This window comes from Homo sapiens, chromosome 1 (genome assembly GCF_000001405.40).
Source record: "Homo sapiens chromosome 1, GRCh38.p14 Primary Assembly".
NCBI lineage: Eukaryota > Metazoa > Chordata > Mammalia > Primates > Hominidae > Homo > Homo sapiens.
The window spans coordinates 32,704,968-32,729,002 of NC_000001.11; the positions used below are offsets into that span (position 1 = coordinate 32,704,968).

Sequence of the window (24,035 nt, forward strand, 5' to 3'; positions counted from 1 at the left end):
TAAGGCTGATCTCAAACTCCTGGCCTCAAGGGATCCTCCAGACTCAGCCTCCCAAAGTGCTGGGATTACAAGCAGGAGCCACCATGCCTCACCCCATTTACTGTTTATCCCTGTCACCCTGTTTATTTTCTGTGCAGCACTTATCAATCTGCAACAATACTATTCATTTTCTTTCTTTTTTTTTTGAGACGGAGTCTCACTCTGTTGCCCAAGCTGGAGTGCAGTGGTGCAATCTCAGCTCACTGCAAGCTCCGCCTCCTGGGTTCAGGCCATTCTCCTGCCTCAGCCTCCGGAGTAGCTGGGACTACAGGTGCCTGCAATCATGCCCAGCTAATTTTTTTGTATTTTTAGTAGAGACGGGGTTTCACCGTGTTAGCCAGGATGGTCTCGATTTCCTGACCTCGTGATTCGCCCATCTCGGCCTCCCAAAGTGCTGGGATTGCAGGCATGAGCCACCGCTCCCGGCCAATACTATTCATTTTCAATTATTTTCTTCTCTGCTTCCCCACTAGAATGGAAGCCCCATGAGGGCAGAGACTTTATGTGTCTTGTTTACTGCTGTGTCTCCAGAGCCCAGCACAGGGACTACCACATAGTAGGACCTTAAAAAAATTGTTTGTTTTTGTTTTTTATAATAATAACAATCATTTATTTTACCCACAGATCTGTGATTTGGGCACGGCTTGGTGGAGGCAGCTCATTTCTGCTTCACGTGGCATCAGCTGAGGTGGCTTGCCCAGAGGTTGCAGAACTCGCGTCCAGGACAGCTCACTCATGTGGCTGGCAAGTTGATGCGGTCTGTCAGCTGGGAGCTCAGCAGGGTATTTGGCTGGGGGTCTTGGTTCTCCTCCACATGGGCTTTTCCACGGGTTGCTTGTGCTTCCTCATGGCATGGTGGCTAAGTCCCAACAGTAAACGTCCCAAAAGAACAAGGCAGAAGTGAAAGGCATTTTTTTTGAGCTAGCCTTGGAAGCTACACACTGTCACTGCTGACCTATTCTGTTGCTAAAGGCAGTCACAAAAACCCGGGCCTCCAGCTCATGGGGAGGGGACATAGATGCCACCTTTTAATGGGAAGGGTGTGTCAAAGTCACAGTATAAGAAGAGCTTATGGAATGGGATATAGTATTGCCTCTGTCTTGGGAAAATACAATCTGCCAAAGATGCAGAATCACAGCTTGGTCTTCCACCATCTCCAGACTGTGGCCCTAATCCACACCCATCCAAGACCAGTCCAAGCTCCCTTCTAATGCCTCATTCTATCCAATGAAAGTAAAAAGGAGGGGTCGCTCACCTCACACCACTTCTGATTGTGTCCTATTGCCAGAGCTCAGTCACATGGCCATATTTAGCTTTAGTGGCTTATTATAAAGGATATTGAAAAGGATACAGATGAAGAGATGAATAGGGCAGAGTTATGGAGGAAGGGGCATGAAGCTTCCATCCCCTCCCTGGGCACACCATCCTCCAGGAACCTCCATATGTTCAGCTATCTGGAAGCTCCAAAAAAATTGTTGAATGAATGAAGGGAAGGAGGATGGTTTTACTTAGGCTAATTTAGGCAATATTTGATGCCTGCTGTGTGCTAGGCCTGGGCCACTCACCTCTCAGGAGCCCCAGTCTACTCAGGGAGACAGACACACATGTGCCCAGATTGCATACAGCAAGGCAGTGTGAGGTATTTGAGCCCATAAGATTCAGCTCACTTGGCAAACATTGGCACTTGGGCTGTGCTGGGCCCTGTGTCAGAGCAAACAGCCTTATTTGGCCCAAGCCTGCAAGAAGCTTTCAGTGTAGAGGAAGCTAGAACCGTCTCCTGGGGAGAAAAACCTATGCAGAAAATAATGCCAAATCACTGGGCTGAGTGATGTGATAGACATTGAGAACCAGGGAAGCCAGGGATGGATGGGAGAAATTAACTCCGGGACTGGGGATGGCCTCGTGAACAAAGTACCTGGGCCTGGAAGGATGAGAAAAGCTGTTCTGGAATCAGGAATCAGGCACAGACTCTGCTTTGAAGGACAAGCGCAGCCACTCTTAACTCTCAGCCCCTCCACAAAGCCAAACCCAGGAGGAGGAGAGAGGCCCCTGGGCTGGCTACTCTTAGCCTAACCTTCCTTCTCAGAGCTTTGTGTCCAGGAGCTGACTCCTGCGGCCAGCGTCTCCTGGGCCCCCTTGCCTTCTGGTTTCAGGTGGGGTTTGGCCAAACTGGGGACCCTGGCAGGAGATCAGAGAGGGAGGAGAGTGAGATCAAGATATTTATTTTTATTTTATTTTTTATTTTTGGGGGGACAGAGTCTCGCTTTGTCACCCAGGCTGGAGTGCAGTGCCATGATCTCAGCTCACTGCAACCTCCACCTCCTGGGTTCAAGTGATTCTCGTGCCTCAGCCTCCCAAGTAGCTGGGACTACAAGCATGTGCTACCACACCCAGCTAATTTTTGTATTTTTACAAAATACAAAGAGACAGGATTTTGCCATGTTGGCCAGGCTGGTCTCAAACTCCTGACCTCAGGTGATCCACCCGCTTCAGCCTCTCAAAGTGCTGGGATTATAGGTGTGAGCCATCACACCCAGCCTAGATAAAGATATTTATTATGCCCCCTCCCTGCCTGTGACTTTGGCATTAACTATATTCCTCCCCCAAAAGCCATGGCTCCTGTTGGGTGGTTTGTACCCATGGGTACAGCTCTGGCCAGGTTCCTTAACAAGGCTCCCTCCCCTGCTCCTTCAGGCCCAGGGGTAATGATTCCATTCCACCATTGCGAGTCCCAGGTGCTCCGCCATTCCTGCCCACACCTCTGTGAATGGTCTCTTCATTAAATCCTCTTCTGGCAAACACTGAGTGTTTGAGTGTGCCGCTGTTTCCTGCTGAGATCCCTAAGATAAAAACTGAACCTTAGAAAGCTGGGCCCTGGACAGATAACTTAGGGAGACTTTCTTTCTAAATACCCCCCACAGCTGGGTGTGGTGGCTCACACCTCTAATTCCAGGTGTGAGGGAGGCTGAGGCAGGAATATTGCTTGGGTCCAGGAGTTCAAGGCTACGGTAAGCAATGATCACACTACTGCATGATGCCCTACTGCCTGGGCAACAAAGTGAGACCCTGTCTCCAAAAACATACATAAATAAATCCCCACCGGCTGGGCTCCGTGGCTCACGCCTGTAATCCCAGCACTTTGGGAGGCCAAGGCAGGTGGATCACCTGAGGTCAGGAGTTCAAGACCAGCCTGGCCATCATGGTGAAACCCGGTTTCTACTAAAAATACAAAAACTAGGCCGGGCGTGGTGGCTCACACCTGTAATCCCAGCACTTTGGGAGGCCGAGGCGGGCAGATCACGAGGTCAGGAGATCAATACCATCCTGGCTAACACGGTGAAACCCCGTCTCCACTAAAAATACAAAAATTAGCTGGGCATGGTGGCGGGCACCTGTAGTCCCAGCTACATGGGAGGCTGAGGTAGGAGAATGGCCTGAACCCGGGAGGCGGAGCTTGCAGTGAGCTGAGATTGCGCCACTGCACTCCAGCCTGGGCAGCAGAGCGAGACTCTGTCTCAAAAAAAAAATAAATAAATAAACAAATAAATAAATAAATAAAATAAAAATACAAAAACTAGAGCCACGCGTGGTGGCTCACGCCTGTAATCCCAGCACTTTGGAAGGCTGAGGCAGGTGGATCACCTGAGGCCAGGAGTTCGAGACCAGCATGGCCAACCTGGTGAAACCCTGTCTCTACTAAAAATACAAAAATTGGCTGGGTGTAGTGGCTCATGCCAGTAATCCCAGCTACTTGGGAGGCTAAGGCAGGAGAACTGCTCGAACCTGGGAGGTGGAGGTTACAGTGAGCCAAGATTGTGCCACTGTGCTCCAGCCTGGGCAACAAGAGCAAAACTCTGTCTCAAAAAAAAAAAAAAAAAAAAAAAAAACGCACCAAAAACCAGAATCAGAAAAGTTGTGAACAAATTTCATCTCGAGTGAAGACTTCTGGGTGCCACTCCAGGCAGGGTCCCCACCCAAGGGGTCCCTCTGTCTTAGGACTGTAGTTTCTGTGGCTGGTAGAATGGGGCAGGCAGGGGACTGTGAGTGAGTGGACATGCGTGTGGGAGGAATGGATGGATGAGCTGGGAAGTGGAGAGGCACCAGAGGGCAGCAGGGGAGGCATGGCCTTGGCAGCTGTCTCTACCAGACCCCAGAGCAGATCCTATAGGACCCTGGGAAACCAACCTCCCTGAACCTCAGCTCCCTCTCAGCAAAATGGGCAATTAACACCCTCTTCACAGGGTTGTTGTGAAATGCAATCAAATGTGAGGCTCAACACATGAGCCACTGGAAGTGGAGCTGCTCTCCAAGCTGAGAGTAGCACATTCCCCATTACTACTGATGCAGGTGGAGGCCATTCTGCTCACTTTTTTTTTTTTTTTGAGACGGCGTTCTTGCTCTTGTCCCCCAGGCTGGAGTGCAATGGCATGATCTTGGCTCACTGCAATCTCTGCCTCCTGGGTTCTCCTGCCTCAGCCTCCTGAGCCACCTGCCTCCACACCTGGCTAATTTTTGTATTTTTAGTAGAGAAGGGGTTTCTCCATATTGGCCAGGCTGGTCGTGAACTCTTGACCTTCAATCCGCCCTCCTGGGTCTCCCAAAGTGCTGGGATTACAGGCATGAGCCACCACGCCTGGCCTCTGCTCACTTTCTTTGTGCCAAGAGCTCCAGCAACCCGTCTAGAGGTGGGAGGAGGGTGGTACAGAGATGCCCTGGCAGGGCCCTCAGACCCACCACTTCTGTTTTTTGTTTTCAGACAGAGTCTTGCTCTTGCCCAGGCTGGAGTGCAGTGGTATGATCAGTGGGACCACAGGTGTGTGCCACCCCACCCGGCTAAATATTTTATTTTTTGTACAGATCACAGCCAGATAGAGGGGTATCTCACCATGTTGCCCAGGCTGGTCTTGAACTCTTGAACTCAAACGATCCTCCAGCCTTGACCTTCCAAAGTGCTGGGATTACAGGCATGAGCCACCGCACCCAGCCTTGACCTACTGCTTCTAGAGAGCCAGGGTATGAATCCAAGCTTTGGAGCGCTTACTTGCTGTGTGACCTTAGGAAAGTCACTCCACTTCATGGAAATTGTTTTCTTCTCTGTAAAATTAGATAACACAGCCAGGCGCGGTGGCTCACTCCTGTAATCCCAGCACTTTGGGAGGCCGAGGTGGGTGGATCACCTGAGGTCGGGAGTTCAAGACCAGCCTGACCAACATGGAGAAACCCCGTCTCTACTAAAAATACAAAATTAGCTGGGCATGGTGGTGCATGCCTGTAATCCCACCTACTCGGGAGGCTGAGGCAGGAGAATCGCTTGAACCCAGGAGGCGGAGGTTGCAGTGAGCCGAGATCGTGCCATTGCACTCCAGCCTGGGAAACAAGAGCAAAATTCTGTCTCAAAACAAAACAAAAACAAGAAATAATTAACTATTATTTTTGAAACTCCCCTTTCTCCTGCTTCCTCTCTCTGAAGCTGCAACCAGGGGCTGGCTGACTACAGCATGTGTTTTCACTCGCTCATTCATTCACTTCACCATTTGTTAGGCCAGACAATGTGTTAAACCCTAAGAACACAAAGACAGTAAGTCATTAAAGCAAGACCTATATCTGTATGACTTCATGGCTGTGTCCCTTGTCCCTAGGTTTTCAACAAATAGTGGCCAAATGATGTGTTCATGAAGAGTATAGTAATGAATAAGACAAATAGAAGAGAATAAAGAATGAAAAGAAAAAACAAATAGTGGCCAAATTAGTAAATGATGTTAGCTATATTCTTGAGCCCCTACTGCAAGCCAGATGCTAAACTAGTCTTTTTTTTTTTTTTTTGAGACAGAGTCTCGCTCTGTCACCCAGGCTGGAGTGCAGTGGCGCAATTTTGGCTCTCTGCAACCTCCACCTCCCGGATTCAAGCAATTCTCCTGCCTCAGCCTCCTGATTAGCTGGGATTACAGGCACCCACCACCATGCCTGGCTAATTTTTGTATTTTTAGTAGAGAGGAGATTTCGCCGTGTTGGCCAGGCTGGTCTCAGACTCCTGACCTCAGGTGATCTGCCTGCTTGGGCCTCCCAAAGTGCTGGGATTACAGGCCGGAGCCACTGCACCTGGGCTAGAAGGCATTTTATCTGCTTTAATGCAATAAATCTTCAGAACAGCCCTATAACATGGGGCCTGTAATAAAGCCCATTTACTGATGAGAAAACTGAGGCTTGGAGAGGTTATGCAACTTAGTTGACCAAAGTCACACAGAGAGGAAATGGTGGCACCCAAGATTCAATACACTGCCTCCACGAATAAATGATGTGTTATCCACATCATTGTCATTAACCTTGACTTTCAGAGACTTATAGTCTAGTGGGAATCTGGCAGCCTTTCCATCCTCAGACTTAGCCCCAAGGGGCCCAGGCATGGCCACAGACTTGTTTTGTGTCTCCGGGCAAATTACTTAACCTCTCTGGTTCTGCTTCCTTTTTTTTTTTTTTTTTTTTTTTTGAGACCAAGTCTTGCTCTGTCACCCAGGCTGGAGTGCAGTGGTGCCATCTCAGCTCACTGCAAGCTCCGCCTCTCAGGTTCATGCCATTCTCCTGCCTCAGACTCTCGAGTAGCTGGGACTACAGGCGCCCACCACCACGCCCAGCTAATTTTTTGTATTTTTAGTAGAGATGGGGTTTCACCATGTTAGCCAGGATGGTCTCGATCTCCTCACCTCGTGATCTGCCCACCTTGGCCCCCCAAAGTGCTGGGATTACAGACGTGAGCCACAGCGCCCGGCCACTTCTTTTTTTCTTTTTTTGAAACAAAGTCTCACTCTGTCACCCAGGCTGGAGTGCAGTGGCTGGATCTCAGCTCACTGCAACCTCCGCCTCCCGAGTTCAAGCAATTCTCCTGCCTTAGCCTCCTGAGTAGCTAGGATTACAGGCACTTGCCACCACGCCAGGCTAATTTTTGTATTTTTAGTAGAGACGGAGTTCCACTATGTTGGCCGGGCTAGTCTCAAACTCCTGACCTCAGGTGATCCACCCGCCTCGGCCTTCCAAAGTGCTGGGATTACAGGCGTGAGCCGCCGCGCCTGGCCCCCTGATTCTGCTTCTAGGAAATGAGATTGGGTGGGCGTTAAATGAGAAAATGTGCAGGAAATGCCCAGCCTTTTGCCCAGTATACAAGAGACACTTGATAAGTGTTCTTCTCTTTATTTCCTTCTTTCTCCCTGCCCTCTGGGACCGCTGTCTGGGAGCCATTGGGGCCTACCCGGTGCTGACCACCAGCCACCGCTTCAGAGGAAGCTGCGTTCAGGGTCGTTCCTCCCCAGGTCGGGCAATGCCGAGCACTGCCTCCAGGGGGCGCCGCCACGCCGACCCCGCGCCCCGGGGGTTGTCTTTTCCGCCGCAGCCGCGCGGGGCCGCCCGGGCCCTGAGTTTTCAGGACCGATGGCGCGCCGACAGTGGGGAGGTCGGCGTCCCAGCTGAATCAAGGACGTCCTTTAGCACCGCAGTGATAATGAACACACAACAATAATAGCCGCAGATCCACCCATAGCGAGCTGCTGGAGTTTAAAGGGCGCATGCGCTTGCTGGGAGGCTGTGGGACTCAGGGAAGGTGCCAGGCCTTAGACTCTGAGCTGGGTTCGAATCCAGAGCAGAGCAGTCTCTCACGTTTCCCCGCTCTGTACCCTTAGGCTTCTCTGAGCTTCTGCTTCCTTTTTTTTTTTTTTTTTTTTTTTTTTTTTTTTGAGACGACGGAGTCTGGCTGTGTCGCCCAGGCTGGAGTGCAGTGGCGCGATCTCCGGTCACTGCAAGTTCCGCCTTCCAGGTTCACGCCATTCTCCTGCCTCAGCCTCCCGAGTAGCTGGGACTACAGGCGCCCGCCACCACGCCTGGCTAATTTTTTTATATGTTTTTAGTAGAGACGGGGTTTCACTGTGTTAGCCAGGATGGTCTCGATCTCCCGATCTTGTGATCCACCGGCCTCGGCCGCCCAAAGTGCTGGGATTACAGGCGTGAGCCACTGCGCCCAGCCTCCTTTGTTTTCAAATGGGAAATGTATTATAGTTCTTGAGAGGAATAAATGAGCAACTTAGGAGAAGTGCATGTACCGTAATTCCCTCTGTCCTGTGAGGGAGCTCTGATTGAATTCCTTTGTGGAATGAGAACGCTGGGGACCCTTTCCCAGGCTCGCGGGCCTCCATGGGTCTCTCTCTCCCCTAGCACAGCCCAGAGGCCAGTCCAGGAGCTCTCTCCCTAAACCCCCTCTTCGGAGCTTCCCTACTCCTCTCTGGAGTTGGCAGCACCTTCAGCTCCTTGGACTCCTCTGGGAACTGCCCCTCCGTCCCCAGGTGCAGGCCCAAGCCAGCAATCTTCCCCTGGCCAATCCCACTACATCCCTCAAACTGAAGCAACGCCCCGTTTGTTCTCCTTACCGCTTCCAAAACCCCATCCAGCCATCTTCTCCAGAAAAACCTTTCCCCGTGTCCTCTCCCAGGTCCACAGCCTTTGCACATGCCACTCCTTGTATCTGGAACACCCTTTCCCCAAGCCCTAAAGCTTGTTACTCAGAACACAGCTTAAATATCACTTTTTCCAGGACGCTCCCTCCCTGTGGTCCTATGGTCGCCTGAGTTTCTTTTGCATTTCTTGTTTTTTTTTTTTTTTTTTTTTTTTTTTTGAGACAGTATCTCGCTCTGTCTCCCAGGCTGGAGTGCAGTGGCGCGCGATCTCGGCTCACTGCAAGCTCCACCTCCCGGGTTTTACGCCGTTCTCCTGCCTCAGCCTCGCGAGTAGCTGGGACTGCAGGCGTGCACCACCTACGCCCGACTAATTTTTTTTGGTATTTTTTTAGTAGAGATGGGGTTTCACCGTGTTAGCCAGGATGGTCTCGAACTCCTGACCTTGTGATCCGCCCACCTCGGCCTCCCAAAGTGCTGGGATTAGAGGCGTGAGCCACCGCGCCCGGCTGTTTTGTTTTGTTTTTTAAGATGCAGTCTCACTCTGTCCCCCAGGCTGGAGTGCAGTGGCGCGATCTCGGCTCACTGCAACCTCCACCTCCTGGGTTCAAGCAATTCTCTTGCCTCAGCCTTCTGAGTAGCTGGGAGGGACTACAGGTGTGCACCACCATGCCTGGCTACTTTTTGTATTTTTACAAAACTACTATATTGGCCAGGCTGGTCACTATATTGGTTTCACTCTATTGGTTTCACTATATTGGCCAGGCTGGTCTCGAACTCCTGACCTCAGGTGATCCGCCCGACTCAGCCTCCCAAAGTGCTGGGATTACATGTGTGAGCCACCATACCCAGCAGGATTTTTTTGTTTAGTGCCTAATCTCCCCTCATTACAGAGTGAAGCCCTCAAAAACAAGAACCTCATCAGTCAAGGGCTCCATGTTATGCCTAGGGCCCTGCCCTGTGAATGTTTGGTAAATGTGTGTCTAATGAATAAGCGATTCCACCCAACTGGGTCCACACTCACTAAGCTTTCTCAACAGCCTCGGCTCAAAGGCACATACACAGAGTCAACACAGCCACACACACACGCACACACATGCACAGAGTCACAAATGGTGCACAAATATGCAACAGGCTCACGCACAAAGCTGAATTCATCTGTGCTCACTACTCCTCTGTGTCCCAGGTCTGTTTTCTTTTGTGACTTGGGGTCCCTGAGAACAAGAGTGTTTTTTTTTTCTTTTTTTAGATGGAGTTTCACTCTTTCGCCCAGGCTGTAGTGAAGTGGCAAGATCTCGGCTCACTGCAACCTCTGCTTCCCAGGTTCAAGTGATTCTCCTGCCTCAGCATCCCGAGTAGCTGGGATTACAGGCACCCGTCAACATGCCCGGCTAGTTTTTGTATTTTTAGAAGAGACAAGATTTCCTCATGTTGGCCAGGCTAGTCTTGAACTCCTGACCTCAGGTGATCCACCTGCCTCAGCCTCCCAAAGTGCTAGAATTACAGGCATGAGCTACTGCACCTGGCAAGAGTTATGTTTTTTTGTCTTCGAGATGGAGTTTCACTCTTTTGCCCAGGCTAGAGTGCAGTGGTGCAATCTCGGCTCACTGCAACCTCCGTCTTCCGGTTTCAAGCGATTCTCCTGCCTCAGCCTCCTGAGTAGCTGGGATTACAGGTGCCCGCCACCACGCCTGGCTAACTTTTGTATTTTTAGTAGAGACGGGATTTCACCATGTTGGCCAGGCTGGTCTTGAACTCCTGACCTTGTGATCCACCCGCCTCAGCCTCCCAAAGTGCTGGGATGAGAGGCATGAGCCACCGCGCCCAGCCTTTTTTTTTTTTTTTTTTTTTTTTGAGTCGGAGTTTTGCTCTTGTTGCCCAGGCTGGGGTGCAATGGCACGATCTCGGCTCACTGCAACCTCCGCCTCCCAGGTTCAAGCGATTCTCCTGCCTCAGCCTCCCGAGTAGCTGGGATTATAGGCATGTGCCACCATGTCCGGCTAATTTTTAGTAGAGACGGGGTTTTTCCATGTTGGTCAGGCTGGTCTCGAACTCCCGACCTCAGGTGATCCGCCTGCCTTGGCCTCCCAAAGTGCTGGGATTACAGGTGTGAGCCACCGCGCCCGGAAAGAGTTGTGTTTTTTACCAGCCTAGGAGCCCCTAGGAGAGGGCAATTTGCTCCCATCAGACTGGGAATCCCAGGCGAATGCTCTATCTCCCCAACTAGTTTGAGGACCTGGGCTCAGGAGTGTCTCCCTTACCAGCCCAGGAGCTCCTGGACCAGGCTGCTTCTACTTCAGGCTTTGGAGCCCTTGGGCCATGCTAGATATGTTCACTAACTAGCCTTGGAGCCGCAAGAACAGAATGGGCCTTCCTTGCTTCAGCCAGGTACTCCAGGAGCAGAGCTGAGCTGGATCTCCCCCAGCAGGCTGGTGGCTCCCACAGGCATGGCTGTGTCTCCCTGACCCCTCTCCACCTCTGCCACTGTCCACCGGCCTAACCCTTCTACCTTGATACAGCAGTTAGGGCTGGGCTGGGCTGGGCTGCCCGAGCTTTGGAAGCAGCAGCAAACCACACTGTGAGACAGGTCCTTTGGAATTCCCTAGGAGGTGGCAGGATCAGTGAGGCTGCAGTAGGGGTGACCTGGCCTGCCTCAGTATGTTGGGCAACTCATCCATATATCTAGTCACTCACCAAACCAGTCCAGAGTTCTTGGGCCTGGGCCTACAGCGCTCTATCTGTATTATGTAGTTAAATTGTCTCATCAATCCTGTGAGGTGGGTGTGATCACGCCTCATTTACAGATGAGGAAACTGAGGGTCAGAGAACAGCAGTGACTTGCCCTAAGTCACAGAGCTGGGAAAGAGCTGGCTGGTTGCCTACTGCATCTTCTACCCAGGTTCAGGAAATGTTTAGGGATAGATTCCACAGGTAGAGAGAGGTGTGTGGCGGGATGCCCAGGTTTCTGGCTTGGGTGGCTTTCAGGAGAGTGCTGACTCCTGAGACAGGGACTGCAAGAAGGTGGGAGTGCCTGTCAGGGAGCTGAGGAGCAGTGGGGAGGCGTAGGTTGCCAAGCAGCTAACCAGGGCAGGCAAGAGGTGGGTCTGGAACCCAGGCTTCCCCATTCCCAGCAGGAGCATCCCCTGCCTACTCCCCACCCAGCTCTTGGCACTGGAGTCCTGGGTTCAAGTCCCATTCTCCATTTGACCCCATCTGAAAAACATGGGCACAGACCCTGTGAGGTCAACACCTGGGATTCCTGCTCCTTTAAGCCTTTCCCAGTGGAGGGCGTGGCCCTGGCTGCAGGTGAGCGCTGTTGCCACATCAGCCGGGTAAGCCCTGCCCTGTCCCCTCCCCCAGCTCTGGAGAGAGGCCCTAGAGGCCCCAGAGGACGGTGGGAAGTGGGCGGGGAGAAAAGGCGGAGCCTGCTTGGCTGGAGAGAAGGGGACAGCCCTGGGCTGGGTGAAGGCACCTGAGTGTTGAGAACACCTGACTGTGCTAGCCTCTGTGTGTCTGTGAGGGTGTCTCTGAATGTTCCAGAGTGCACAGGAGTGTGTACAAAATAAACGTGCACTTTGACTGTGAGGATACAAGGTTGTATGCAAGACTGCCTGAATGTCTCAAATACCTCTTTTGTGTGCCTTTGTTTCTGTGTGGCTGTCCCTGGGTGTGCAGGAGTAAGTATGAATGTGTTTGTTTGTCTCCAGCGTGCCTTTGTGTGGCCAAGTGTGTGTGTGACCCTCTGAATAAGTCTCAGAATAAACCTGAGCTTTTGTGAGTCCACATTTAGAAGTGCCCCTCCAACTGGCCCCAGGCTGATGGAGGCATAAAGCCTGCCCCATCCTTTAGAAAAGCCCAGCCCCTGTGCCCCCTCTCCCTTCCTGGTGACTCACTGCCCCCCGCACCTGCCCCCAACCTCCAGAGCCTCCTGCCTTAAAGAGCAGTCCCTCTCTTGCCCAGCTTGTCCTCTCAACACTCAAAGGAAGGCTCAGTCCCCTCCTCTAGGTGGACTTCTGTGACCAGGGAAGGGGGGCCTTACATTATTTGCTAAGCATCTTCTATTGTACCCCCATTTGACAGATGACGACACACAGCCCAAAGCAGTGCAGTGACCTGCTGCAGGTGGGCACTTGTGTTTGATTCCATGACTTTTTTTTTTTTTTTTTGAGACAGGGTCATGCTCTGTCACCTAGGCTGGAGTGCATTGGTGTAGTGTTGGCTCATTGCAGCCTCAACCTCCTGGGATCAAGTGATCCTCCTGCCTCAGCCTCCCATGTAGCTGGGACCACATGTGTGCACCACCACACCCAGCTAATTTTATTTCTTTGTAGAGACAGGGTCTCACGTTGTTGTCTAGGCTGGTCTCAAGCTTCTGGGCTCAAGTGATCCTCCTGCCTCAGCCTCCCAAACTCCTGGGATTACAGGTGTGAGCCACAGCGCCCGGCAATTCCATGACTCTTAAAGCCCCTGGTGGAATCCCTGGCCATGTCCAGCCCCGTCAGTGTCCCCAACCCAGGGACTTTGAACCTGGGAAAGAGAAAGGAAACTGACATTTAGTGAGCCCCTCAGCCGCTCGCTTGGCCTTTCCCATGTTGTCATTTTATTCCCTTCAGGCTTGCTCAGAGAGGGAGGCAGCTTGCCTAGGGTCACATGGTCAGAAAGTAGCCAAGCTAGGATTTGAACCCAGGCCTTTCTGGCTCTGGAGCTCATGCTGTTAGGTGTAGGGGGAGGTTGGGGATGGGCTGGTCCAGGACTGACTGACCTCTAGTTGCAGAGAGAAAGGAGGAAAGTATGACGAGACATGGGTGGAAATGGAGAGAAGGCTGAGGTGACACAGTCTCATGTGAGCTCCATCAACAGCCCCAGTAGGACTTCCTGTTCTAACCAGAATCCAGCTCCCTGTCCATTGCCCCTCTCCCCTAGATGGAGGGGGCTGGATTGGGGAAAAACGTGACTAAATCAGCCCAGGCTTGAACAACCTCTCTACTGGCTAGTCGCAAGTGTTTGGAATTCCACCATTCCAGTGATCTCTGTCCCCTTTCGGCCCTTCTTTCAGAACCACAGGCTCCCAGGATGTGTCTAGTCTCCAGCCCCACCTGGGGAAGTCTGGCTAGAGCAGGGGGCACCAGATTGATGGAAGTCCTGGATGCTCTTCTGGAATAAGGGTGGGGGGCAGTGGCGATGGGACAGGGCACTGGCAGGGAGTGGGAAGAGCAGGCCTCTGGGAGGCAGATCACAGCAAAAGGAGGACTTGAATCTCACCTTTGGACTTCAGGTCCAAGGCTCTTGCTACCATATGTGGCTTCCACTGGATACCAGGGCTGACTTTGGCTGGTGGAGGAGGCCACAGAAGCAAGGATGTGAGAGCCAGAGTTCATTTGGCTCTTCTGGGTGACAAGGACCAGAGAAATGCTCACCCAAATGCTTCAGGAGACAGGGCCTTGTTTGAGGCTGTTTGGAGAAGGCAGGCAGGCAGGGATGGTGTCCCTCACCTCCAAGCCTCAGGGAGTCTTCATGGATGTTCACAAAGCAGAGTAGCTCTACTGATCTGGATGTCTCCTCTTTGCCTCGTCTGCAGGCGCCTGATGCTCCCGAGTCTGAGGCTTAGTGGTCACAGAGACTGTCACGCTGAGACGTTGCTTCTGTCCTTCCTGCACATCTTGCCCGACCAGCGTCCTTGCTGCCCTCGGCTCCTGCTGCTTCATGGTCCTGCCCACAGCCTTCTCTGGGTACTCCCTCCTCCCTGACAGAGGATCTACTGATGGGGAGGAGGATCCAGTGAATCTGATTCTTAGGGGGCAGCTTCCAGCCAGACCATGTCATGGACCACTGGCCAGCTGAGAGAGGGCCAGGCCCTAGGTCAGGCCCACCTCTGATCTAGTTAGTGGCAGACCAGTTGGATCACCAGGTGATGTAAGAAATCCTTAGAAAGGATGGTGGGCAAGGCAGGCATTTAGAGCATAAACCACTCCCTTGAATCCAGACCCCGATTTCAGCCATTTCCATGAAGTATCTTTTGGTATCTTTGCCCCATGCCCAACACAAGGCTGGCAGAGTTAAACGTCAGTGACTGTGTTCGTGAACAACCAGGTGAGTGAAGTCCGCCAAGGAGCTCTGAGGCTCCGTTGAAGGCCGATGCTGTGCGGTGGGGCCTGGGACTCCAGTGTCCTTGTCCAGGGCTCTCCAGGAGGCCTGTGGGCTTGGGTCCCTCACATGGGTCTGCTTCTCTGTGTCCTGGAGATGCCAGGGCACTGGAGCTCTCTGGTGCCACTCCTGCCACGCCAGACGCTGGGGGGTAAACACACAGCCTCTCTCTGCTTGTAGGTCTGACTATACTATACATCCCTGACCCTGGATCTCACAGCCTCTCTGCCTTGCTCCCTCACTGCCTGGGTGTCCTTCTGTTTCCGGCCTTTATGGGTGGCCCTGCCTGACCCCCCTGACCCATGGCCAGGCCTGAGGGGCCGGGTGGGTGGTGGAAGGAGGGTGCACAGTGGAACTCTTGTGCAGGGTATCAGGGTGGGGCCAGTCCCTGCTCTGTGTTCCAGCCTGGCTTGAGTCCTGGCAGGCCAGAGGGTGAGCTGCTGCTCTGCCCACAGCATCATCTCAACATCTGTTCCACTGAATGGGTCTGGAGCTGCTGTGGAAGCTGCCCAAGAAAGCCCTTGGCTGGGCTCTCCTTCCAGGCTATTATTGATCCCTTTGCCTCTGGCTCCTCCATCTCTCAGCCTGTGCCCTGGGCCATGACATGACAAGGATGTGGCTGGTATGGCTATGGCATGTGAACACAATGCTGGTTCAGGGCTGCAGTTCAAAATGCTTCATCTGGGAACTGGAGGTTAATACCAATAAGGCTTGATGAGGGAGATGGGGAATCAGCGTGGGGACAGGGCTAGCTGAGGGGACCAGACTGAGTGAGGGGATTGGGGCTGAGTGAGAGGATGGGGACTCAGTGAGGAGATGGGGACCTAGTGAGGGGATGGGGCTTAGTGAGGGGATGGGGCTGAGTGAGGAGATGGGGACCTAGTGAGAGGATGAGGACCTAGTGAGGGGATGGGACTCAGTGAGGGGATGGGACTCAGTGAGGAGTTGGAGGTTCAGTGCGGAGTTGGAGGCTGAGTGAAGAGATGGGGCTCAGTGAGGCAATGGGGGTTCAGTGTGGAGTTGGAGGCTCAGTGAGGGGATAGGGGTTTGGTGAGGGGATGGGGCTCAGTGAGGGGTTCGGGCTCAGTGAGGGGATGGGGCTCAGTGAGGGGTTGGGGCTCAGTGAAAGCTTGAATTAGAGAAGGGGTAGACAAGCCTCTGGAACTCATTACCTTAATGATCTCTTCCCACCCCAGCTCTGGTCCTGGAGCCTACCCCTGGTCTATATTCAGCTTGACCCTAGAGGGACATGGCTGTGCACCTTGGTATCAGTGACCTGTATCTGGGACCAAGACAGGCAACACCAAACAGTCCTGAGTGGCAAACTGTGAGGCCTTAGGGGTTAGGGGGCCAGGGCTGGGAGGGAGCCACGGAAACCAGTGAGAGGGAGGCCTGGCCTTGGGTCCTGGAGGGCAAGGAACCTCTTATTTCCCAAAAGGTTCCTCCCACCTCTAGGGTCCTGTAGGCTGGAGGCAGCTTCCAGAAAGGCATTTGGAATGCTGGGAACAGAGGTGGCCCTATCCCAGGTTCTTGGGATGCCCCTTCCCTCCTCATCACTAAGCCCCCATCTCTTTTTTTTTTTTTTTTTTTTGAGACAGTCTTGCTCTGTCGCCCAGGCTGGAGTGCAGTGGCACGATCTCGGCTCACTGCAACCTCTGCCTCCTGGGACTCAGTGAGGCGATGGGGACCTAGTGAGGGGATGGGGCTCAGTGAGGAGATGGGGACCTCTCCTTAGTACAGACAGGGTTTCACCATGTTGGCCAGGCTGGTCTCTAACTCCTGGCCTCAAGTGATCCACCCGCCTCAGCCTCCCAAAGTGCTGGGATTACAGGGGTGATCCACCGCACCACAGCCCTCATCTCTTTTTACCAATAACCTCCCCTTGACTGAGCCCACCCTCTGCCATAGAGTCCCCACTCTCTCTGTCTCTGTCCTCTTACTGAGCCAAGGTGCCCCTCGAAGAACCCTCAGACCAGAACTGAGACTGTCTTTCAGCTGAAATGCTCAGGCACTGCCCTATCTCACCTTCAGTGAGGGCTGTCTACACTGGTCCCAGCCATTCTGGCTGGCCTAAGGCCTTATTGCCCAAAGAACTCACTGCTCATTTGCATTCATTTACATCTGATCATTTAACATTCAAATACCCAAGCCTGGACTGGTGAGGAATGGCTGCACATATGCATGCTATTTGTATATTCCCTTTTAGTGAGAAAATACTCAAACTCTCTTCCCTCTCCAGCTCCCCAAGGTCACCCTGTTTAGGGTCTGAGTTGAGGAGATCCTTGGTTGGGCTCCGCAGAGAAAGTGTAATAGTGCACAATGTTACATGGGAGCTAGTCTGTGTTCAGAACCCAGAAGTGCACTGAGAACATGGTGCTACCACTACTCATTTCTGCATTCATGGCAGACATGATTAACTGATCATGGTACTCTCTCCCTCTAACCCAGAACCATTTTGGGGGCATCAACTGGCATGTGAGATTAAATCTATTTGTCTCCCCTGATTAGTCCAACCATTTCCTTTCCAGACAGGGAAACTGAGGCCCAGAGAAGATGCAGAAAATACAGATCATATCCACCATCAATGCCACTTTCCAGCCTGGAAGCATATGGGCCATTCCCTTGGAGGATGGGGGAGGGCAGTTCTACTCTGTGTAATAAAATCTCCTGTGTCAGCACAGTGGCTCATGCCTATAGTCCCAGCGAGGTGGGAGGATTGCTTGAGGTCAGGAGTTCAAGGCTGCAGTGAGCTATGATCTCACCACTGCACTTCAGCTTGGGTCACAGAGTGAGACACCCCTCTCAAATAAAAAGAAAGAAAGAAAGAGATAAAGAGAAAAAGAGAGAGAGAGAGAGAAAGGAAGGAAAGAAGGAGAGACAGAATGGAAGGAATGAAAGGGAAGGGAAGGAGAAAAGAAGGAAGGAAGGAAAGAAGGAAGAAAGAAAGGAAGGAAGGAGAAAGGAAAGGAAAGGAAGGAAGGGAAGGAAGGGAAGAAAAAAAGAAATAAATAAAATATCCTAGGCTAGATATGATGGCTCATGCCTGTAATACCAGCACTTTAGGAGGCCAAGATGGGCAGATTGCTTGAGGTGAGGAGTTCTAGACTAGCCTGGGCAACATGGCGTAACCTCATTTCTACAAAAGATACAAAAATTAGCTGGGCATGGCCGGGCACGGTGGCTCACGCCTGTAATCCCAGCACTTTGGGAGGCCGAGGTGGGCAGATCACGAGGTCAGCAGATCGAGACCATCCTGGCTAATATGGTGAAACCCCAACTCTACTAAAAATACAAAAAATTAGCTGGGCATGGTGGCGGGTGCCTGTAGTCCCAGCTACTCGGGAGGCTGAGGCAGGAGAATGGCGTGAACCCGGGAGGCGGAACTTGCAGTGAGCTGAGATTGTGCCACTGCACTCCAGCCTGGGTAACAGAGCAAGACTCCGTCTCAAAAAAATAAAAACAAACAAACAAACAAACAAATAAATAAAAATTAGCTGGGCATGATGGAAGGTGTATGTAGTCCTGGCTAGCCAGGAGGCTGAGGTGAGAGGATCACCTGAACCTGGGAGGTTAAGGCTGCAGTGAGCCGTGCATGACACTGCACTCCAGCCTGGGTGACAAAGCAAGGCCCTGTCTCAAATATATATATTAAAAAAATAAAGAAAGAAAAATATCACAAAAAGGTACTTCTGGATGGAATTAGAGGTGACTTTTATTTATGACTTTGTGTTTCTCTGTCTGTAATCCCAGTTACTCAGTAGGATGAGGCAGGAGAATTGCTTGAACCTGGGAGGCAAAGTTTGTGGTGAACCAAGATCGCACCACTGCACTCCAGCCTGGGCGACAGAGCAAGACTCTGTCTCAAAAAAAAAAAAAAAAAAAAAAAAAGAAAATTGTCCCAAGATCACACAGCAAGTGGTACGGCTGTGACATCAGCCACATTACATACAATTTAAACCAGTCAAAAGTTAATATCAGGAGCTGGGTATGGTGGCCCGTGCCTGTAGTCTCAACTAGTCATGAGGCTGATGCAGGAGGATCACTTGAGCCCAGGAGTTTGAGTCCAGCCTGGGAAATATAGCAAGACCCCATCTCTAAAATAAATAAATGAATTATAACTAAAATTACAACTGGGAGGCCAGGTGCGGTGGCTCACGTCTGTAATCCCAGAACTTTGGGAGGCCAAGGCAGGCGGATCACCTGAGGTCGGGAGTTCAAGACCAACCTGACCAACATGGAGAAACCCCCATCTCCATTAAAAAAAAAAATACAAAATTAGCTGGCGTGGTGGTGCATGCCTGTAATCCCAGCTGTTTAGGAGGCTGAGGCAGGATAATTGCTTGAACTGGGGAGGCGGAGGTTGTAGTGAGCCGAGATTGTGCCATTGCACTGGGCAACAAGAGCAAAACTCCGTCTCAAAAAAAAAAAAAAAAGGCAAAATTAGCCGGGCATGGTGGTGCACACCTGTAATTCCAGCTACTTGGGAGGCTGAGGCAGGAGAATCGCTTGAACCCGGAACGCAGAGGTTGCAGTGAGCTGAGATCGTGCTCCAGCCTGGGCAACAAGAGCAAAACTCTGTCTCAGGAAAAAAAAAAAAAGCCCAGGTGCGGTGGCTCATGCCTGTAATCCCAGCACTTTGGGAGGCCGAGGTGGATGGATCACGAGGTCAGGAGTTCAAGACCAGCCTGGCCAAGGTGGTGAAATCCCATCTCTATTAAAAACACAAAAATTAGCTGGGCGTGGTGGCAGGCTCCTGTAATCCTAGCTCTCGGGAGGCTGAGGCAGAGAATTGCTTGAACCCAGGAGGCGGAGGTTGTAGTGAGCCAAGATCACGCCACTGCACTCCAGCCTGGGTGACAGAGTGAGACTCCGTCTCAAAAAAAAAAAAAAATTACTATTGGGGCTAGTCTGGCCTAGAGAAGAACAGTGATTTGCACGCTCTCCTGTATGATGTATGTGCAATAACCCATCCTGTGGGGAGTGAAGTGACTTGCCCAATGTCACACTGCATGTTGTATAAAAAACCAGCCTGGGCCCCAAGAAGGCTGCTTTGCAGCCTGGGAAGAGGTGACAGGCCCTGGCATGATCTGCCCTGCCCTCTCAGGACCTGAATGCCCCTCTCCACTCAGGACAATGGGAACGCCTCCTGCCAAAGCCACTGCTATTCCTCTCAGTGGGGAGGAGGGAGAAGACAATGAAAGAGGCTGGGGAATGAGGGGTGTGGGGGACTCCAAACAGAGCCAGCAACAAATGGGCAGGGCACAGAGTGGGGCAGGAAGGATGGCCCTCTCTCCACTGGGACTTTGAGAAGGGGCCATTTTGGCAGGAGGATGGGCGCAGTCTGCCTACTGGTATGCTTGAGCCCCTGGACAACTTCATTCACTGTCTCTTTACATCACTCCCTCCTGTGTGCCCAGAGCATAGGACGGGGACACCAATGCACCAGCGCGCCAAATCTGCGTGACCTCGTGCAAGCCACTTAGTCTCCTCACCTGTGAATTGGAGGTGATCGGCCCTACTTCCCAGGGCTGTTCGGAGCATTAAAGGCAATCACAGAAGTGAAGCACCCCAGCTGGAGTGGGCGAGGCAGTCCAGCAAAGGCTAGTTGTTACAGTGGCAGAGGCGCTCCTCTCCCAGACTGCCCCACACAGCTGGCAATGGTGGGGACTGGCCAGGAGAGCTTGTGGGGAGGAGCCCTCTTCCTTCCTGCCCCTTCCAGCTGGGTATCAAGATCTGAGACCAGATGTGTTGGTGAGTGACTCAGCGCTTTCCTGCCTGGAAACTCCTCCCTGCCTGTCTCACCAGGCTGGGCCAGGGAGGGTGAGACAGCAGACTGGGGGTGGGAGTGGCTGGTTCCGAAAAACCTCAGGGGAGCCATGGGGGCAGGAAGGGAGAGGGAAGGAGGGATGAGAATAGTGTGCCTTGGCCTGCAAGATGGGGATGGGATGAAGGAAGTGGGACACTTCCGAGACTGTCAAGGAAGAGCTAGGTTGAGGGTGTCCTTGTCTGTCTAGTCAACCTAAAATGACCAGGTGGGAGGAGGAAAGCTCACCCCTTCCTCTTCCCACCTGCATACATCCTAGCCCCAGTATTTCCAGGCCAGCCCAAACCCATTTGTCTTGCCCTCCTGGGCTGCATACCCACATGACGCTCCCTTCCTTCCCTTTCCTCTCCTCCTCTTCCCAGCCAACCACCTCCACTTCCCCATCTCCCACTCCACTGGATCTGTTACTAACTCCTTGGTGCCCACTCTCTCTGGAAGGTTGTCCTCTATTGCCTAATCCCTCACCCTGACAGCTTAAGCTGTCAGGGACAGTAAGCATGGTTGACCTGGTCCTTCTGGACCTTCATGGAGCTTTTGTTTTTGAGACGGAGGCTCTCTCTGTCGCCCAGGTTGGAGTGCAATGGTGTGATCTCGGCTCACTGCAACCTCTGCCTCCCAGGTTCAAGCGATTCTCCTGCTTCAGCCTCCCAAGTAGCTGGGATCACAGGTGCGCACCACTTGGCTAATTTTTAAATTTTTAGTAGAGATGGGGTTTCACCATGTTGTCCAGGCTGGTCTTGAACTCCTGACCTCAGGTGATCTGCCCACCTTGGCCTCCCAAAGTGCTGGGATTACAGACCCGAGCCACCATGCCCAGCATCTTCTTGGAACTCTTTTCTTCATCTCAAATATCACCCTGCTGGTTTCCCTTCTATCTTTTGGACAATTCCTTCTCTAATCTCTTCTTCCCACTCTCCCTTTTAAAGGTAGAGTGTTTTGTTTTGTTTTTTGTTTTTTGAGACGGAGTCTCGCTCTGTCGTCCAGGCTGGAGTGCAGGGGCGCGATCTCGGCTCACTGCAAGCTCCGCCTTCCAGGTTCGCGCCATTCTCCTTCCTCAACCTCCCGAGTAGCTGGGACTGCAGGCGCCCACCACCACGCCCGGCTAATTTTTTGTATTATTAGTAGAGACAGGGTTTCACCGTGTTAGCCAGGATGGTCTCGATCTCCTGATCTCGTGATTTGCCCGCCTCGGTCTCCCAAAGTGCTGGGATTACAGGCGTGAGCCACCAGGCCCGGCCTTTTTTTTTTTCTTTTGAGACAGAGTTGCTCTCGTTGCCCAGGCTGGAGTGCAATTGCATGATCTTGGCTCACTACAACCTCCACCTCCCATGTTCAAGCGATTCTCCTGCCTCAGCCTCCCAAATAGCTGGGATTACAGGCATGCGCCACCACATTCAGCTAATTTTTGTATTTTTAATAGAGAGAGGGTTTCACTATGTTGGCCAGGATGGTCTTGAACTCTTGACCTTGTGATCCACCTTCCTGAGACTCCCAAAGTGCTGGGATTACAGGGGTGAGACACCGAGCCCAGCAAAAGGTAGAGTGTTTTCTAAATTCAGTCCTTTCTTTTTTCTTTTTTCTTCTTTTTTTTTTTTTTTTTTTTTTTTTTTTGAGACGGAGTCTCGCTCTGTCGCCCAGGCTGGAGTGCAGTGGCGGGATCTCGGCTCACTGCAAGCTCTGCCTCCCGGGTTCACGCCATTCTCCTGCCTCAGCCTCCCAAGTAGCTGGGACTACAGGCGCCCGCCACTACGCCCGGCTAATTTTTTGTACTTTTAGTAGAGACGGGGTTTCACCGTTTTAGCCGGGATGGTCTCGATCTCCTGACCTCGTGATCCGCCCGCCTCGGCCTCCCAAAGTGCTGGGATTACAGGCGTGAGCCACCGCGCCCGGCCTCTTCTTTTTTTTTTTTTGAGATGGAGTTTTGCTCTTGTTGCCCAGGTTGGAGTGCAGTGGCATGATCTCGGCTCACTGCAACCTCCGCCTCCTGGGTTCAAGCAATTATCCTGCTTAAGCCTCCCGAGTAGCTGGGATTACAGGTGCCCACCACCACGCCCAGCTAATTTTTGTATTTTTTAGTAAAGACAGAGGTTTCACCATGTTGGCCAGGATGTTCTTGAACTCCTGACTTCAGGTGATCCGCCGGCCTCAACCTCCCAAAGTGCTGGGGTTACAGGCATGAGCCACTGTGCCCGGCCCTAAATTCAGTCCTTTCTAGTCTACCATATGGAGAAAGGATTAAGTGCATGGACCTTGGCATCATATAAACTTGGGTTCAAGTCCTGGCTCTCCTTTTTACGAGCTGTGTAACCTTGGGTAACTCCTCAGCTTCCTCCGCCATTAAATGTGTTGATCTTACCTACCTCCTGGGGATCTAATGCAATAATGCATATAAAGCATTCAGCACTGGGTCTGGTGCATAGTAAGTCAGGTAACGGCACCTGTAGATAATATCCTTTCTTTCTGGTCAGTTCCCCCCACCTCCCAACTCCTACCTCCTGGGCATGTTTTGCTGGATGTCCAAGTCAAATTCTAAGTAGCTAAAAGCAAAATTCCATCTCTTCTTTTTCCTCCCTAAACACCAGCTTCTCTTGCTGCCCTACCTCTATTAATGCCTCACCATCTTTCACTGAGGCCTGAGGCCTAGCCCTTAGGGATGTTGTACAAACAAGTACCAAAGCTATGTGCAGGGGAGGCTGACTTGAAAAATCATTGTCTTTGCCCTTAAGGAACTCACAGTCTGGTGAGAAAGTTAGACAGACAAACAAACATAATAAGATAATTGCTCTACTAGAGGTTTATATGGAGGAACTTCTATGCTTAGAAGGAATGCTGAGCCAGGTGCGGTGGCTCAAGCCTGTAATCCCAGCACTTTGGGAGGCCGAGGTGGACGGATCACCTGAGGTTGGAAGTTCAAGACTAGACTGACCAACATGGAGAAACCCCATCTCTACTAAAAATACAAAATTAGCTGGGCGTGGTGGTGCATGCCTGTAATCCCAGCTACTTGGGAAGCTGAGGCAGGAGAATCACTTGAACCCGGGAGGCAGGAGGTTGCAGTGAGCCGAGATCGCGCCATTGCACTCCACCCTGGGCAACAAGAGCGAAACTCCATCTCAAAACAATAAAAAATAAAAAGAGGGAGTGCTGAAGTGTGGCTGGATCAATCCAGGAAGACTTCCTGGAGATGATAGCATTTGAGTTGGCACCTGCAGGCTGAGTAGGAGCTTGAAAGGTAGACAAGTCAGGGAAAGCCAAAAAAATTACCCACAGACAAAGCTGTGGCCATGAGAAGGCAGGGACTGGAAGCTCACATGTGTTTTGGAGAGCTTCTCTAGGGCAGCACGGAGGATGCTGGAGGGGAGAAAAGCTGAGGCAGCAGACAGATCCAAGAGGAAGGTTTAGGATCTGAAAGTGTACTCATGCTTTGCCATGCAATGCTGTGCAACCTTAGGAAAGTCACTTGAGCTCACTGAGCTTCCATCCCTCATCTGTCAAATGGAGAGAATAATAGGTACCCATGGGGATGCTGGGGAGGGCTGAATGAGCTAATGGAAGGGAAAGTGCTGGATAAATGCAAGCTGTTGTTATTGTAG

At 51.9% G+C, this 24,035-nt stretch overlaps 5 annotated features.

The window, feature by feature from the left end:
• Positions 7,251 to 7,490: a silencer, noted in NCBI's record as "silent region_607". NCBI's record gives its function as "represses an Ori minimal core promoter by ATAC-STARR-seq in GM12878 lymphoblastoid cells {active_cell/tissue: GM12878}" and the evidence as "EXISTENCE:reporter gene assay evidence [ECO:0000049][PMID:35858748]".
• Positions 9,361 to 9,655: a silencer, noted in NCBI's record as "tiled region #2185; K562 Repressive non-DNase unmatched - State 7:EnhWF". NCBI's record gives its function as "represses a minimal TATA promoter and a strong SV40 promoter by Sharpr-MPRA in K562 cells {active_cell/tissue: K562}" and the evidence as "EXISTENCE:reporter gene assay evidence [ECO:0000049][PMID:27701403]".
• Positions 12,703 to 13,458: an enhancer, noted in NCBI's record as "H3K27ac-H3K4me1 hESC enhancer chr1:33183271-33184026 (GRCh37/hg19 assembly coordinates)". NCBI's record gives its function as "activates a minimal SCP1, AML or CMV promoter by ChIP-STARR-seq in primed H9 embryonic stem cells {active_cell/tissue: H9 hESC(primed)}" and the evidence as "EXISTENCE:reporter gene assay evidence [ECO:0000049][PMID:30033119]".
• Positions 19,324 to 20,152: an enhancer, noted in NCBI's record as "H3K27ac-H3K4me1 hESC enhancer chr1:33189892-33190720 (GRCh37/hg19 assembly coordinates)". NCBI's record gives its function as "activates a minimal SCP1, AML or CMV promoter by ChIP-STARR-seq in primed H9 embryonic stem cells {active_cell/tissue: H9 hESC(primed)}" and the evidence as "EXISTENCE:reporter gene assay evidence [ECO:0000049][PMID:30033119]".
• Positions 20,261 to 20,555: an enhancer, noted in NCBI's record as "tiled region #8469; HepG2 Activating non-DNase unmatched - State 7:EnhWF, and K562 Activating DNase unmatched - State 1:Tss". NCBI's record gives its function as "activates a minimal TATA promoter and a strong SV40 promoter by Sharpr-MPRA in HepG2 cells, with weaker activation in K562 cells {active_cell/tissue: HepG2 | K562}" and the evidence as "EXISTENCE:reporter gene assay evidence [ECO:0000049][PMID:27701403]".